At 40.2% G+C, this 17277-nt stretch overlaps 1 protein-coding gene and 1 long non-coding RNA gene across 22 annotated transcripts in view; one reads left to right on the plus strand and one right to left on the minus strand.

Annotated features, from left to right (window-relative positions):
- Nucleotides 1-17277, plus strand: part of PATJ (PATJ crumbs cell polarity complex component) — a 421436-nt gene that overhangs the window by 262231 nt on the left and 141928 nt on the right. For 19 of the 20 annotated variants that reach the window (XM_011540462.4, XM_011540467.4, XM_011540464.4 and 16 more), the window contains one exon: nucleotides 13146-13237. In XM_011540462.4, coding sequence (XP_011538764.1) covers nucleotides 13146-13237 — 92 coding nt within the window. Of the gene's footprint in view, nucleotides 1-8632; nucleotides 8819-13145; nucleotides 13238-17277 lie in introns of those variants that run through there. The other variant, XM_011540469.4, reaches the window with a different exon arrangement.
- The window catches only part of LOC107984965 (uncharacterized), a 45543-nt gene that overhangs the window by 19045 nt on the left and 9221 nt on the right, over nucleotides 1-17277 (minus strand). For both annotated transcript variants that reach the window (XR_001738097.2, XR_001738096.2), the window contains exon 2: nucleotides 1975-2018. This is a non-coding gene — a long non-coding RNA (uncharacterized LOC107984965). The remainder of the gene's footprint in view (nucleotides 1-1974; nucleotides 2019-17277) is intronic.

Here is a 17277-nt window from a genome sequence, read left to right on the forward strand (position 1 = left end):
GTGTGTGCCTTCTATGTTGTAAACATTTATTAAATGGTACTATTATAGTTATAAAATGTCAATATAGAAAAACAAACTGAAAATCACCTTAAATCCCACCAGCGATATGATCATTGCTGACATTTAGTAGAGATACTCACAGAACTTTCTTTAAACCCACACAGAAACTTTTACATAAATGAAAATAATGTGGTAAATAGGTTGCATGAAATTTGTTATTTTCTTCACTCTGCATGCAGTGTTTTCTTTCTATGACAATGCATCTACATCTGTATCATCCTCCCCTACCTCTGTTTAATACCACAGTTTTCCATTTATTGATATACGATTATTAGTATAATTGTTTGTTGGTTAATACGTAGTTTTTTTCACTTTTTCTCTTTTAAAGGAATAGCCATGAGAGGGATGACTGGGTTTTTAAATTTTTTAGGATTTTTTTTTTTTGAGACATAGTTTCACCTGTCACCCAGGTTGGAGAGCAGTGGCGTGATCTCAGCTTACTGCAGCCTCCACCTCCAGAATTCAAGCTATTCTTGTGCCTCAGCTTCCTGAGTGGCCAGGCTGGTCTCAAACTCCTGACCTCAAGTGATCCACCCACCTTGGCTTCCCAAAGTGCTAGGATTACAGGCGCCCAGCCTAGGATAAATTCTTAGAAGTGGAATTATTAGATTAAAAGTTAACCTATAAAAATATTCAATATGATGTGGTTTTTTTTTTTTTTTCGTCTGTGTGTTACATTCAGTAAAAGAGTTTATTAAAGAAAAAAAGTTGGGCCAGGCACAGTGGCTCATACCTATAACCTCAGCATTTTGAGAGGCTGAGATTAGAGGATTGCCTGATCCCAAGAGTTCAGGACCACCCTGGGCAAGATAGCAAGACCTTGTCTCTACCAAAAAAATTAGCCAGGCGTGGTGGCACACACCTGTAGTCCTAGCTACTTGGGAGGCTGAGGTGGGAGTATTCCTTGAACCTGGGAGTTAGAGGCTTCTAGGCTACAGTGAGCTATGATTGTGCCACTGCACTCCAGCCTGGACAACAGAACAAGACCCTGCCTCTTTAAAAAAAAGTAAATTACAGAGAAGGACTCTCAGATTTAATTATCACCAATTCAAATTACATGAATTTCAACTCAGTTCTTTAATAATAATTTGTCACTTTTCATAATCAATCCTTCTGCTTTAATAAAATTGTGGGTGGGGTATTGTTAGGTATAATATATTATGACGTGATATTCACACCTCAGGCAAATCTATTACTTGAGCTAAACTTTAATTTTTATATAATTAATATTTCCATTCCTAGCTTAAGTTAATTAACTTTTACTTCCAATTTGGCAGGGTTTTTTAGTAGATTTAATTGAGCTGCTCTTCAGTATACATTTCTTTTCTTTTTTTGTTTTGTTTTGTTTTGTTTTGTTTTTTGAGACGCAGTCTTGCTCTGTCGCCCCAGGCTGGAGTGCAATGGCGCAATCTCGGCTCTCTGCAACCTCCATCTCCCAGGTTCAAGCAATTCTCCTGTCTCTGCCTCCCAAGTAGCTGGGATTACAGGCGCATGCCGCCACACCCCACTAATTTTTTCTATTTTTAGTAGAGACAGGGTTTCACCATGTTCCCCAGGCTGGTCTCGAACTCCTGAGCTCAGGCAATCCACCCGCCTTGGCCTCCAAAAGTGCTAGGAGTACAGGCGTGAGCCACCGTGTTCAGCCCAGTATAAATTTCTATTCATGTTAGTTGAACTATAAAAAATTAACAGTAGTTGAAAACCTATCACTTCATGATATTTTTGAATAGTTAATTTTATTGAAACAAATCTCATTAAAGATCTCTAAAGTGAAAGTTTGTATAGTATAACAAAAGGATTTGAATTCATTTACTTTTGCTGAATTTTCACTGGATTAACCCTAATTCTACTTCTGCTAGGTTAATGTTATAACTAAGTATCCCATCTCTGGTACATAAATATAAGAAGACTTACCTCATATCAGATTGTCTTCCCCCACTACAGTAGTTGAAACCAGTCTATAAGGGGAAAAGTCAAAACACAATGAAAATCCGTTATAATATAGCTTAGAAGCTTTGCAAATACAGTCAGGCCTTAATGGCAGGGATACATTTCTGAGAAATGCGTCACTGAGTGATTTTGTTGTATGAAGGTCATAAAGTGTACAACCTAGATGGTGTGGCCCACTCCACACCTAGGCTATGTGGTATAAGGCTATTGTTCCCAGGCTATAAACCTGGGCAGCATGTTACTGTACTGAATACTGTAGGCAACTGTAACACAATGGTAAATATTTTTATATCTAAATACAGAAAAGGCACAGTAAAAATATGGTATTATAATTGTATGGGACCACCATTATATATGTGGTCCATCCTTGACTGAGGCATTATTATGTGGCACCTGATTATAGAGGTATTTCTCATTTGAGGCTGTTATCTTCAGTATCCAGAGCTACTATAATTTGCTACTGAACGACATTTTATTGAGTTGGAAATTCAGAACCTGGGAAAAAAATGAACTCACCCCTAAGGTAAAATATTACTGTCTTTCAGGGACTAGGCATCATGAAGCTGAGACAGAAGTTACTAGAACTATCTGGAAGACCTCAGAAGGCCCACTTTGTCAGTAATCAGATGAGGAAGCTAAAAACAGATAAGAAAACCAGAATTGTAGGTCAAGAGCATAGAAAGCTCCTTTGGACAGAAAGCTTTTTCCCTTTTTCTTTTTTCTTCTTTTGTATCTTTTTGGATGCCAAGGCAAATTACTGAACATCTGAAAGAGCACAAGACTAGGAGATTGAAAGAGGTATGTCAGTTAGATTTACAAATTAATATTCAGAATTAGCAGGAGCCTAAGAAACCATATCAATGAATACTTTTTGGTTGCAAAGAACAGAAATTAGTTCAAATAATTGTCCCAGTCAGCTTGGGCTGACCATAGACATCTATTTCTCACAGTTCTGGAGGCTGAGAAGCCCAACATCTAGATGCTGATTAATTTGGTTCTTGTTGAGGGCTGTCTTCCTGGTTTGCAGACAATGTTCCTGCTGTATGCACACACATGGTGAAGGGAGAGATTATGTCTCTTAGTGTAAAGGCACTAATTTCCTCTATGAGGGCTCCATCCTCATGACCTTGTTACTTCCCAAAGGCCCCACGTCCAAATACCATCGTATTGGGAATTAAGGCTTCAACATATGAATTTGCAGAGGGACATAAAAATTCAGCCCATAACAATAGCTTCACCAAAAAAGTAGAATCTATTGTAATGGTGTGAATCCCTCCTGGAATCTGAAGATCGGGATGCACCAGGGCTTTGGGAAATGATGGCTTTTCCAGTCCCTTCATCTGTGTGGCAGAATATGGACATCTCACAGAAGCTTAATGAACATGTAAAAAAGCTAGCTGTTGTCTCAGCTCCAATTTAAAACCCCCTAAAGAGAGAATCTTGGTTGTCCTAGCCTATGTTATATGCTCCTCAGCTGTGGCCTGGAGTGTCATGACAAGCAACACAAACTTGGCTGCCCACCATAAAGGATGGTATTTGTGATGAGAGGATTTGAAGGACAGTCCCTTACAAAGAGAAGCAGTTGTGTGCTGGCAAAGATCCCCCTAGATCTCTACTACATTCCTCATCTGGTCTGGCTTTCTCATCTTAGTGATATAGAAATTGAGATAGAATGCCATTAAATCACTTCCCATAGTCATGGCTTGATGAATGTGGGAAAAAGATATAATTTATCATCCAAACTGGGTAACTACTAATCGGCACAGTGGCTCATGCCTGTGATCTCAGCACTTTGAGAGGCCAGGGCAAGTGGATCGCTTGAGTCCAGGAGTTCAAGACCAGCCTGGGTAACATGGCAAGACCCCGTCTTTATAAAAAAATGAGCCCGGTGTGTGGTGCGCACCTGTAGTCCCAGCTACTCAGGAAGCTGAGGTGGGAGGATTGTTTGAGTCTGGGCGGTCAAGGCTGCAGTGAGCCATGATCGCACCATTGCACTCCAGCCTGGGCGACAGAGCAAGACCCTGACTCAAAAATAAATAAATAAATAAATAAGTAATTGGAACAACATAAATAAAGTAGGCTGTCTCAGGAAAATCAGGATATATGATTACCATTGAATGAAAGAGTTGTAGATCTTGGATTTTAAGATAATAAATAGATATTTGGGTAAATTGGGAAGCATCAAATCAGGAATAAAGATAGTTCTTCCCACCATTGTGGGATGATATCAAAGATAAAGACATGTCTACATAATTTATTATTCTTCCTTTATATCATTCAGTCACCTTTGAAAGAAGAAACTTTGGGAAAGGCACTTAGTTTCTCTACCTCTCAATTTACTGGAAGTAAATGGAAAAAAATAATATTTTCCCAATTTCAAGATAATCTGAATGAGCACTCAGGTCATGAAAGGTGGGGAGCAATATTTGATCCAAAATGAAATATCTTAATTGTTTTCCTTGGGGCTGGGTCAGAAAAAGCTAAAAGGGTAGTCAACCTATATATATATTGAACCTATTTATTTACAGGCATACTTCAGATAGATTATGGGTTCCATTCTAGACTACCACAATAAAGCAAGTATCAGAATAAGTGAGTCATGTGTGTTTTTTTGTTTCCCGCATATGTGAAAGTTATGTTTATACTATGGTCTATAAAGTGTGCATTAGCATTATGTCTAAACAAGTAGATACATTAATTTTAAAATAATTTATTTCTAAAAATTGCTAACGATCATCTAAGCCTCAGCAAGTTGTCATCTTTTTGCTGGTGGAGAGTCTCGCCTCCATGTTGATGGTTGCTGACTGATCAGGGTGGTGGTTGCTGAAGGTTGGGGTGGCTGTGACAACTTCTTAAGATAACAATGACATTCGCCACATCGATTGTCTCCTTTCAGGAAAGATTTCTCAGTAACATCGGATGCTGTTTAATAGCATTTTACCCACAGTAGAATTTCTTTCAAAATTGGAGTCTAGGACTGGTTTATCAATGAAGTTTATGTAATAGTCTAGATTCATTGTTGTCATTTCAACAATGTTCAAAGCATCTCCACCGGGAGATTTCATGTCAAGAAACCACTTTTGGCCAGGCCTGGTGGCTCACGCCTGTAATCCCAGCACTTTGGGAGGCCGAGGTGGGCGGATCACAAGGTCAGGGGTTCGAGACCAGCCTGGCCAATATGGTGAAACCCTATCTCTACTAAAAATACAAAAATTAGCCTAGTGTGGTGGTGGGCGCCTGTAATCCCAGCTACTGAGGAAGCTGAGGCAGGAGAATCGCTTGAACCTGGGAGGGGGAGGTTACAGTGAGCCGAGATCGTACCATTGCACTCCAGCCTGGGGGAGTGAGACTCCATCTCAAAAAAAAAAAAAAAAAAGAAAGAAAGAAAGAAACCAGTTTCTTTGCTCATCCATAGGAAGCAGCTCCTCATCTGTTCAAGTCTGATCGTGAGATTGTAGCAATCCAGTCCCATCTTCAGGCTCCACTTCTGATTCTAGTTCTCTGTCCATTTCCACCACACCTGCAGTGACTTCCTTCACTGAAATCTTGAACCCCTCAAAGTCATTCATGAGAGTTGTTATCAGCTTCTCCAAAATTCCTGTTAATGTTGATTTTTTTTTTTGTAGCCACATTTATTTAAGTGTACAGCTCAGTGGTAATAAATACAGGTATATTCTTTTTTTTCCTTCCTCTCTCCCAGCTCCCCAAAAAACCCCCTCCCCACCCCGCCCCAGCCTCTGGTAATCACCAGTCTACTCTCTGTCTTCATGAAATCTACTTTTTTAGCTCCCACATATGAGTGAGAACATGATATTTCTCTTTCTGTGCTTGGTATATTTCACTTCACATAATGGCCTCCAGTTCCATCCATATTATTGCAAATGACAGGATTTCATTCTTTGTTATGGCTGAATATTATTCCATTGTGTATATATACCACATTTTCATTATCCATTCACCTGTTGATGAGCACTTAGGTTGATTCCATATAAGGAAAGGAGTTTAATTGACTCATGGTTCCTCATGGCTGGGGAAGCTTCAGGAAACTTACAATCATGGCTGAAGGGGAAGCAAACACATCCTTCTTCACATGAAAGGCTATTGTTGAAAATTTATTGTTTAATGTAACCATCTTCATTATTGAGCTTAGCTAGATCTTCTGAATAACTTTCTGAAGTTTCTACATCATCACTTGCTGCTTCTCCTTGCATTTTATGAGATTGAGACTCCTCGCCTTAAACCTCTGCTAGCTTCAAACAACTTCTGCAACTTCCTCACCTCTCTCAGCCTTGATAGAATTGAAGAGAGTTAGGGCCTTGCTTTGGATTAGGCTTTTGCTTAAGAGAATGTTGTGGCTGATTCCAACTTCTATCCAGACCACTCAAACTTTCTCCATATTAGCAATTAGGCCGTTTCGCTTTCTTATCATTCCTGTGTTCGCTGGAGTGGCACTTTTAATTTCCTTCAAGAACTTTTCCTTTGCATTCACAACTTGGCTAACTGGTGCAACAGGCCTAGCTTTCAGCTTAGCTCAGCTTTTGACATGCCTTCCTCACTAAGTTTCATCATTTCTAGCTTTTGATTTAAAGTGAGAGATGTGGGACTCTTCCTTTTACTTGAACACTTAAAGATCATTGTAGGGTATTAATTGGCCTAACTTTAATATTGTTGTGTCTTGGAATCGGAAGGCCTCGGAGGAGAGAAAAAGAGATGGGGAGCAGCTGGTCAGTGGAGTAATCAGAACACACAATTATGTGTTAACTGATTAATTAAGTTTGCCATTTTATATGGGCACAGTTTATGGTGCCCCAAAACAATTATAATAACATTGAAGGTCATGGATCACATATCGCCATAACAGACAGAATAATAATGTAAAAGTTTGAAATATTGAGAGAATTACCCAAATGTGACACAGACAGGAAGTCAGCACATGCCACTGTAAAAATGGTGCCAGTAGACTTGCTCAATGCAGGGTTGCCACAAACTTTCCATTTGTAAAAAAAAAAAAAACAATAAAATGAGATGTACCTATATACTGAAAAAAGTGTCATAAGGGTATGTTATTGTTCAAGGTGCAATTTGTTTGCATGAAGAGAAAGGTGCAGTTGTATGGGACTCCATATTGCATTTGGGACTTTAAAAAGCCTAAAAGTCTTAGTTGGGTATGGTGGCGCATGCCTGTGGTCCCAGCTTCTCAGGAGGCAGAGGCAGGAGGATCTCTTTATCCCAGGAGATTGAGGCTGTAGCGAGCCATGTGCATACTACTTCACTCCAGTCTGAATGACAGTGAGAACCTGTCTCAAAAAAAAAAAAAGCAAGCAAAAAACAAAATATAGCTTAAAAGTCAACTATTGGGCATTTCCCCCATGTGTTGTAGTGACCTGGTTTTTGGTTGATACTGACTTTTTTATCTCAAAATCCAAGACCTAAGATGGTAGAGTGACCATCTGTTCTTGCTCATCTTTTTATAGAGATGGCTGTTAGAAATTATCTCATTTTTTATGTGTACCATTCAGATGATATGACCTCTGGGTATGCCCTAGGATTATAGACTTTTAAACTAATTGCTAAAGCACCTTGGGCAAATTATAGTTTCATAATCTAGTGAAAGTAAATCATACCCCAGTTGTTCTGAGATCTAAATGAGATACTGTGCATAATGAGTTTAGCACGGTGTTCTGCACTCAGTAAATGGTAGCCTTTATTAACTGTAGTTAACCTAATAGACTTCCAAAAAAGAATTCTTTTTTTTCTTTTTTTGCCTATATTATTTGGAAGACTTTCTATATCTGTTGTTTAAAGAATAATGCCCTCAGAGAACAGCTTCTCAATAATACAATAGATGATAATCTAAAGCTAATTGTGCATAAAATATATCATTCTTTCCAACTAGTTATTGAATTTTCAGTGGAGCATATTTCCTTTAGTGATGAAAAAATATGAAAACTGCTTGAATAGTTGGAAGCTGTATAACTTTTATTTAAATAGTGAAATTGTTTTATATTAAATAAGAAGAAAACAAAAGAGAGACCTCTCCTAAAAGCGAATGGCTGCAAATGTGTTATTTTTTTTTTCCCTAGCCCTAACCCTAAATGTGTTATTTTTAAGGCCATAAAAGAGTCTTTGTCTTGGATTTATTTTTCTATCCAGAGATCAGCATTTTTCTTTTAGATTTAATCCAGTTGAATCAAGGTTCACTCTTTCTTGGGTTTCTTGCTCTGTTCCCAGTTTTCCACTGCATAGCAGAGTTTCTCCAGAGGCCTCGGCATGTTGCCGGGAGCAGCTGCCTTAGCCATAAACACCCGTATTGGCACTGGAAAAAACATCAACAGCAAGCAAGCTGCTTTGCCTTTCCACTGCCAGAGGCTCTGCACATTTAGAAACAGAACCGTGAAAGGCATAACTTCAGATTTCCTCTTACGTAAATTAAAATTAACGATCTGCTTTCTTCATTTGGGATCTCATTTTTCTCTCTCAGAATAATAGTACCATAGATTCTATTCTACCAAAATGGAGGACCACCACTAAAGAAGCAGACATATCCATAAACATGAAACAGTTAGATTTCCTACATGCTCAAGCGTTTTGCTGATCAAAACCATTTTTTTTTTAACCTTAGTCACTTCGAAGGCTGGAGCCCATGTTAGTGAAAGCCTACTCGCAGTTGATTAAGCACCACTTCCATTCAGGACTGCAACTCAGCACATCCTCATTGAGGGCCACTATGCACAAGCTATGCATGAAAAGCTGGGAACCACCTAGAGGAGGATGTTGGCTCCTGCCCTAAGGAGCTCCACTCAGTTCAGTAGGTGTTGCGTGCCTGCGCTGATGGTTACTGCCCAACAAGGACTGACTTTACCATGTTGTGTTGTGGTATAAGTGCAAGAAGAGAAATTTTTTTAAACCTAGTGCCACAAGATTCAAAGACAGGAGGGTAGGATAGGTGATTTAGAAAAAGCTTCTGGAAGCAGAGGCTGAACACAGTGGGGAAGACATAGACATTCACAAATGCTTAACTGAATGCCAGGCCTTGAATCAGGCTCATTCCAAACGTCATTTGTTTTTTTTGAGACAGAGTCTTGCTCTGTTGCCCAGGCTGGAGTGCAGTGGTGCGATTTTGGCTCACTGCAGCCTCTGTTTCCCAGGTTCAAGTGATTCTCATGCCTCAGCTTCCCAAGTAGCTGGGACCACAGGCGCCTGACACGATGCCCAGCTAATTTTTGTATTTTTAGTAGAGACAGGGTTTCGCCATGTTGGCCAGGCTGGTCTTGAGTTCCTGACCTCAAATGATCCGCCCACCTCGGCCTCCCAAAGTACTGGGATTACAGGCATGGGCAACCGCACCCAGCCCCCCATTCTTCTCACTCTGTCAATCAGCCTGGAGTACAGTAGTACAGTCATAGCTCACTGCAGTCTTTAACTCCTGGACTGAAGCGATCCTCCCACCTCAGCTTCCTCTGAGTAGCTGGAATTACAGGCACACATCACCATAACTGGTTAACTTTTTATTATTTTTTTGTAGAGACAGGGTCTTTCTGTGTTGCCCAGGCTGGTCTCAGACTCCTCAAGTGATCCTCCTGTCTCAGCCTCCCAAAGCTCTGGGATTACAGGCATGAGCCACCACACCTGGCCTTATCTGATTTTCAAATATGATTTAAAGTACCTTGTTTGTAGTTAATTATAAATTAACGAGATTGGAAAATATGGTCAGCAAAAAACATGATCATACTAGACATACTATTTTAAAACTTGGTTTTACCAGTTAGTATATTTTGAACATTTTCTATGTCATTAAGTATGCTTTTTCACAAACTTTTAAAGACGATTTCTTTTCTTTCCTTTTTTTTTTTTTTTTTTTTTTGACACAGGGTCTCACTGTGTTGCCCAGGCTAGAGTGCTGTGGCACAATCTTGCCTCACTGCAGCCTCAACCTTACAGGCTCAAGCAAACCTCCCACCTCAGCCTCCCAAGTAGCTGGGACTACAGGTGCATGCCACCACACTTGGCTAATTTTTATATTGTTTGTCAAGACAGGGTTTCACCATGTTGCCCAGGCTGATCTTGAACTCCTGAGCTCAGGCAATCCACCAGCCTCAGCCTCGCAAAGTGCTAGGATTACAGCTGTGAGCCTCTGCACCTGGCCACTGCATGATTTCTTTAACCATTTCCCTTGTAGCTAAGTAGGTAAGAAGATACAAATATAAGAAAAGCTGAACTCTGAAGTGTCAGGAGAAAATATATAATCTAGACAGTGGACGTATTTTTAAATGCATGATATTAAGAATAGAAACGTATGCCGGGCGCAGTGGCTCACGCCTGTAATCCCAGCACTTTGGGAGTCCGAGGAGGGCGGACCACCTGAGGTCAGGGGGTCAAGACCAGCCTGGCCAACATAGTGAAACCCCATCTCTACTAAAAATACAAAAAAAAATTAGCCGGGCTTGGTGGCGGGCACCTGTAATCCCAGCAACTCGGGAGGCTGAGGCGGGAGAATTGCTTGAACCTTGGAGGCGGAGGTTGCAGTGAGCTGAGATCATGCCACTGCACTCCAGCCTGGGCAACAGAGCAAGACTCTGTCTCAAAAAAAAAAAGAAAGAAACGTAATAGCAAAGATGAGTAGTTTCGAACCCATAAAAATTAAAAATCCTTTTGATATCAAGGGTACTCTAAATAAAATGTAAAGGCATTATCTTGTTTAATTCTCACAATAGCTTTGTGAAGTAGGTACTTAGATTTCTTTTAGAGAAGGGGAAACTGAGGCACAGAGAACTGACAGTGTGGAAATCGGTGCTTTCTATGAGATTGATGATTTCGTGTGTGTGTGTGCGTGATGGACTCTCACTCTGTCACCTAGGCTGGAGTGCAGTGGCGCAATCTCGGCTTGCTGTAACCTCTGCCTCCCAGGTTCAAGCTATTCTCCTGTCTCAGCCTCCCCAGTAGGTGGGACTACAGGTGTGTGCCACCACATCCAGCTAATTTTTGTTTTTTGTTTTTGTTTTTGTTTTTGTTTGGAGACAGAGTCTCAGTCTGTCACCCACACTGGAATGCAGTGGCGCCATCTCAGCTCCCAAGTAGCTGGGACGATAGACATGCACCACCACGCCCAGCTAACTTTTGTATTTTTTAGTAGAGATGGGGTTTCGCCATGTTGACCAGGCTGGTCTCGAACTCCTGGCCTCCAGTGATCCATCTGCCTCAGCCTCCCAAAGTGCTGACTATAGGCACCCAGCTGAATTTTTGTATTTTTAGTAGAGACAGGGTTTCACCATGTTGGCCAGGCTGGTCTCGAACTCCTGACCTCAAGTGATTTGCCTCCCTTGGCTTCCGAAAGTGCTGGGATTACAGGTGTGAGCCACTGTGCCCGGTGAGATTGATGATCTTGGTGCAGAACGAAAGCTGATAGAATAAGAGGCAGAGTGAGGAGGTAGCTCAAGATTGGTCTTTCCATCAGCCTTGGATATGAATCCCAGCTTTACCACTTAGGAAAGGTGATGGAAGGGCCACTTTTTAGATAGTTGAAAATACTATATTTTCATTTCATATTTTAAAGTGTTCACTTCCACATGCTGTCACATTATAACTATTTTGACAAAAAAATAACATTTTTAGATGTCTTGAAAGGAACATCAGGTGTGCCTTAAAATGCAAAATTCCAGAGACAGAACAAATTAGATGCTAATTGCAATTCCTTTTACTGTCCCTTATATGGTACACTATACTATCTCTTAAATAGTAGAAATTGTCAATGCCACACTTGAATAGGAATAGTATAGTTATAGATCATTAACTACTTTTTAAAGAGATAGAAGGAAAAAGTCAAAACTGTATGAGCTGTTATCAATTGGGTGAAATAAAATAAGAGAGTTTCCAGCTATCATCATAGTTTATCAGTGGGAAAATCAGGAATAAAGAAATTTAGAATTTAAATGTTGTTTAGGTCATCTTTTGGTAGATCCAATCAAGTTTAAAATTCTACCATGTCTTGGATATGAGCATATGACTCATTGATGGCGTTCAGTAAAATCTTTCTGTGTAGTTGGTTTAAAATTTGACTTAAAACAGGGATATAATATTTACCTTCCCTAGAGTAACAAATTTATGTTATGTAATAACCTTGACATGTTTACAAAATCATGTTTAATGGGCTCTCCAGAGCTCCAGTGAATACCACAATTTGGTCTGTTTTCAACATTTTTAAGGAATCTGGGAAAGCTGTAGGAAATGAAATATGTGTCCTAAACTTTTTGTATCAGGCTTAACTACTGCTTTCTTGAAGTTTAGCAAAAGGATAAAGGACTGTATGTTCTTCATTAACTGTAGTCAAAACTGAATTTAAGGATTTTTGATAGCTGTTTAGAATTACTGTTTGAATCTCTACTACAAAGAATATTAAGATTTTTAGCATTTGAGAGTCCTAATATACCCACTTAACAATCATTAGACTTACTTTGGGAGGCCAAGGCCTAAGGATCACATGGTCAGGAGTCCTAACCCAGCCTGGGCAACATGGTGAAACCCCATCTCTACTAAAAATACAAAAATTAGCCAGGCATGGTGGTGCACACCTGTCGTCCCAGCTACTCGGGAGGCTGAGGCAGGAGAATTGCTTGAACCTGGGAGGCAGAGGTTGCAGTGAGCCGAGATCATGCCACTGCACCCCATCCTGGGTGACTAAGCGAGACTCCGCCTCAAAAAAAAAAAAAAATCAGTAGACTTAGGGCCAGGTGTGGTGGCTCACACCTGTAGTCCCAGCACTTTGGGAGGCTGAGGCAGGCAGATCACTTGTGGCCAAGAGTTTAAGACCAACCCCAACCTAGCCAATATGGTGAAACCTCTTCTCTACTAAAAATACAAAAAAATTAGCCAGGCGTGGTGGCACATGCTGGTAATTCCAGCTACTCAGGAGGCTCAGGCATGAGAATCACTTGAACCGAGAAGGCGGAGGTTGCAGTGAGCCAAGATTGCACCATTGCACTCCAGCCTGGGCGACAGAGTGAGACTGTCTCAAAAAAAAAAAAAAAAAAGAAAAGAAAAGAAAAGAAATTCAGTAGACTTTATCATTTAATTCCAAGTATATACATATATACTTGTAGACATGTATAATTTAGTACATTGTGGTTTTTCCCAAACAGATAAACAATCAGATTCTGTATGGAAGAAGTCACCAAAATGCATCTGCCATTATTAAGACTGCCCCATCAAAGGTCAAGCTGGTTTTCATCAGGTAAGATTGCTAGATCTGGTTTTGCAAAATCAAAGACCTCTTCTGAAGATGTTATTAGTGTAAGACTATGTCATCTTTGATTTGTCTAGCGAAATCACTGTTCCTTCTAAAAACATATATTCCTTTTGTAACTGTCACTTCAAGAAAAGTATTGATTGTTTTGATTATGAGATTGTCTTATTTGCTTATGTTTCATGGGATAGAATTGGTAGCTGAGGCTAGTATTTATATTTCAGTTATAAAACATTCTTCCCTTTCTGGATCCATTTTTCCTGTATATAAATATAATGAAACCTGCTAACTTCTCTTCCTGTCACTACTATTTGGTACATTTGCTGAATCATTAATGTCTTCATTAAAGAACAAACAGGAAAACAGAACTGAGGACATTCTTAGGAGCTTCCTTTTAAGAGTGCTGGTGAGAAGCTCAGAGTAGAGAAGATGTTCAGCACTGCTGCCTAGAGTTGTGTTGTGTGTTTGGGGCTTCACATTTACTCAGACCTCCCTGCAAGCTGATTGAGCCCTCATGGTACAAGTAAATCAGAATTAGGAATCTTACTGTTTGTAGTCAACATTGCCACATTAGCAATAGAAATGAGGTTGTTTGATTCTCTTTACTGGACTGAAATGACAAGTAAATCTGAATTACTTTTAGGTCATGTACCTAACCCTCTATGTTCACTGTAGCTCTGCTTCTTTTTCCTTCTGGGACTCAGTTATCATCTGTAAAATGGGATAATAAAGCATCTCCCTCATTCATTGTGATATTTCAGAAATTGAAAATGCTCAATACAACATCTAGCATAGAGTAAGGGGTGAAAGAATGTTAGCTGCTATTTTAGGATTATGACAATCATTATTATTCTTCCCTTTCTCGTTAGTTACCAGCAGTAAGATCTGTCCATTCCCAGGGACCACTGGGATTAGGAGGTAGTTTTATTCCCAGCTTGGGCACTAACGTGATTGAAATATCCCTTCCCACTTCTACTTTGCTCCTGAAGAAATCCTACATTAGGGCCAGGCACGGTGGCTCACGTCTGTAATCCCAGCACTTTGGGAGGATCACCTGAGGATCACCTGAGATTAGGAGTTTGAGACGAGCCTGGCCAACATGGCGAAACCCTGTCTCTACTAAAAAATACAAAAAATTAGCCAGGTGTGATGGCGCACAACTCTACTCCCAGCTACTCAGGAGGCTGAGGCAAGAGAATTGGTTGAACCCAGGAGGCAGAGGCTGCAGTGAGCTGAGATCGCACCATTGCACTCCAGCCTGGACGACAGAGAGAGATTGTCTCAAAAAAAAAAAAAAAAGGCCGGGCATGGTGGCTCACTTTGGGAGGCTAAGGCAGGCAGATCACGAGGTCAGGAGTGCGAGACCAGCCTGGCCAAGCCAACATGGTGAAACCCTGTCTCTACTAAAAATACAAAAATTAGCCAGGTGTGGTGGCTACTCAGCTACTCAGGAGGCTGAGGCAGGAGAATTGCATCTTGAACTCAGGAGGCAGAGGTTGCAGTGAGCCGAGATCACGCCACTGCACTCCCACCTGGTTGACAAAGCGAGTCTCTGTCTCAAAAAAAAAAAGGAAATCCTATATTAGCATCCTTTTCTCTCATCTAGTGGCACTTTCTGGCTTTCTAGTTTTTCACTCTATTTTCAGAGAGTGAAAGCTTCCTCCTTCACCTATGTCTTTGTATATTAAGATGAGCCCTTTATCCTTACTCTCCTTTGACATCCTCTGTTAGACACCAGTCTCCTTTTTGGTTTTCTTGTCCTTTCTTTTGGCAAGGGTTATAAAATTAGAGTTAGTTGATTAAAAAAAAAAACTTGAGTAGACTTTGAAGAAAGGTCAGCACTCAAGAGATTAAGATGTTGTTCATTAAGAGAAGTCCACAAAAGTAGTGTGTTTAGACTTGAAAACTTTGCATAAAGTTGTGTGGGGGCCAGGCGCGGTGGCTTGCACCTGTAATCCCACCACTTTGGGAGGCCAAGGCAGTAGGATGGCTTGAGTTCAGGAGTTTGAGACTGGCCTGGGCAACATAGTGAGACCAAATCTGTGCAAAAGAAAAAAAAATTAGCCAGGCGTGGTGGCATGTGCCCTGTAGTCCCAGCTACTCGGGAGGCTGAGGCAGGAGCATCGCATGAGCCCAGGAGGTTGAGGCTGCAGTGAGCCATGATCACGCCACTGCACTTCAGCTTGGGCGACAGCAAGACCTTGTCTCAAAAAAAAAAAATTCTGTGGCTAGTACATGAGAAGATATATGTAGCACTTAACAGTATCAGCATCTGCACATGGTGCAGATTTGTACCATTGCAAATGGTACAATGTACTATGTACATATGCAATGTAAATGTACATTTAGTACGTAGTGATGGCTGCTACCACAAGAGCTGTTATCAACAGTACGTACCTCTTCAGCATTTGTGGGGCTTTTATTATCCACATGGGCCATGCCATTTTAAAGAGAGCAAAAAGAAAATTGAATAGAGTCCAAAGGAAATAATGTAATGCAATTGTGTAGTTGGGAAATAAAACCCTCCTCCTTCCATAAAGAAAGGTTAAATAATTTGAAATTATTTAGAAGACAGAAGGGAAAGCTGAATAGAATTTTAATCATAGTAGTAAAGCTCCATCAATTTACAGTCTGATTATTTCAGTTTTGATCATTGAACAGAACAGAATCAAGAAAAGAATTTGTTGACTAAATTAATGGTATACACAAGATTAAGGATGCTGCTGAATGCTTATTTACTGGAAGTGATTTTAAGCAATTTAGAAGTATCAATGTACATTTAAAATCTGTAATCTAATTCTTAGTCCATTTGGGCTGCTATAACAAAATACCCGAGTGTCTTATAAAGAACAGAAATTCATTCATTCATTCATTCATTTATTTTGAGACAGAGTCTTGCTCTGTCACCCAGGCTGGAGTGCAGTGGTGCGATCTTGGCACACTGCAACCACTGCCTCCCAGGCTCAAACAATTCTCATGCCTCAATCTCCCGAGTAGCTGGGACTACAGGTGTGTACCACCAGGCCCGGCTAGTTTTTTTTTTATTTTTAGTAGAGACAGGGTTTCACTATGTTGGCCAGGCTGGTCTCAAACTCCTGGCATCAATGATCTGCCTGGCTCGGCCTCCCAAAGTGCTGGGATCACAGACGTGAGCCACTGCACCAGGCCCAGAAATTTATTTCTCACAGTTTTGGAGGCTAGGAAGTTTGAGATCAAGGCTCTAGCAGATTTGATGTCTGGAGAGGGCCCACTTCCTGTTTCATAGATCTATTCCGTGTATCCTCACGTAACAGGAGGGGCTCCCTTGGGCCTACTTTCTAGGGCACTAATCCCATCATGAGGGCCCCACTCTCATGACGTAAACACCTTCCAAAAGGCCCTGCCTATTAATACCTTCATGTTGGTGATTAGGTTTCAACAAATGAATTTTGAGGGGACACAAACATTCAGACTGTAGCACAAACCTTTCCTGCATGGTCATTCAATTACAGTGTGTGGCATATAATGAGTGTTCAGAAAGCTTTATTGAATAAATTTCCTTTTCACTCCTACTAAGCAACTCTAGGTTACTTATTGTCCAAAATCAACAATTATAGTAAGTTCGTTGTTGTTGTTATTTTGTGGATTAAAAATATATATATTTCTGTAACTCAGTATTTTACAAAATTCCTCATACGTCAGTCCCTCTTCCCAGTACTTTCCCAAATTAGCTAAGTTTTTTTATACCTTCTTTTATAGGGAGAAAAAACATATAGGAGTGATTCTGAATAATTATTTATTATAAGAATCCTGATTTTGCTTATTTTAGAATCAAATCCTGAAGAAGTTAAAATTCGATTCATTATCAAGTTTCCAGAAGTTAACACTTAAATCATCTCAGTACCACAGATGCGACTTTGTTTTTCTTTTAAACTCTGCATAACTTGTACTGTGTTATAACGTTACTTTGAGGACTAGTTTTTATAAATTGTATTTCTTTACAATTTGCACTTCTATTTGGCAAAATTTCCTTCCTTAGTTGAAATTAT

The sequence above is a fragment of the Homo sapiens genome, chromosome 1 (assembly GCF_000001405.40).
Source record: "Homo sapiens chromosome 1, GRCh38.p14 Primary Assembly".
In the NCBI taxonomy this organism is placed as follows: Eukaryota; Metazoa; Chordata; class Mammalia; order Primates; family Hominidae; genus Homo; species Homo sapiens.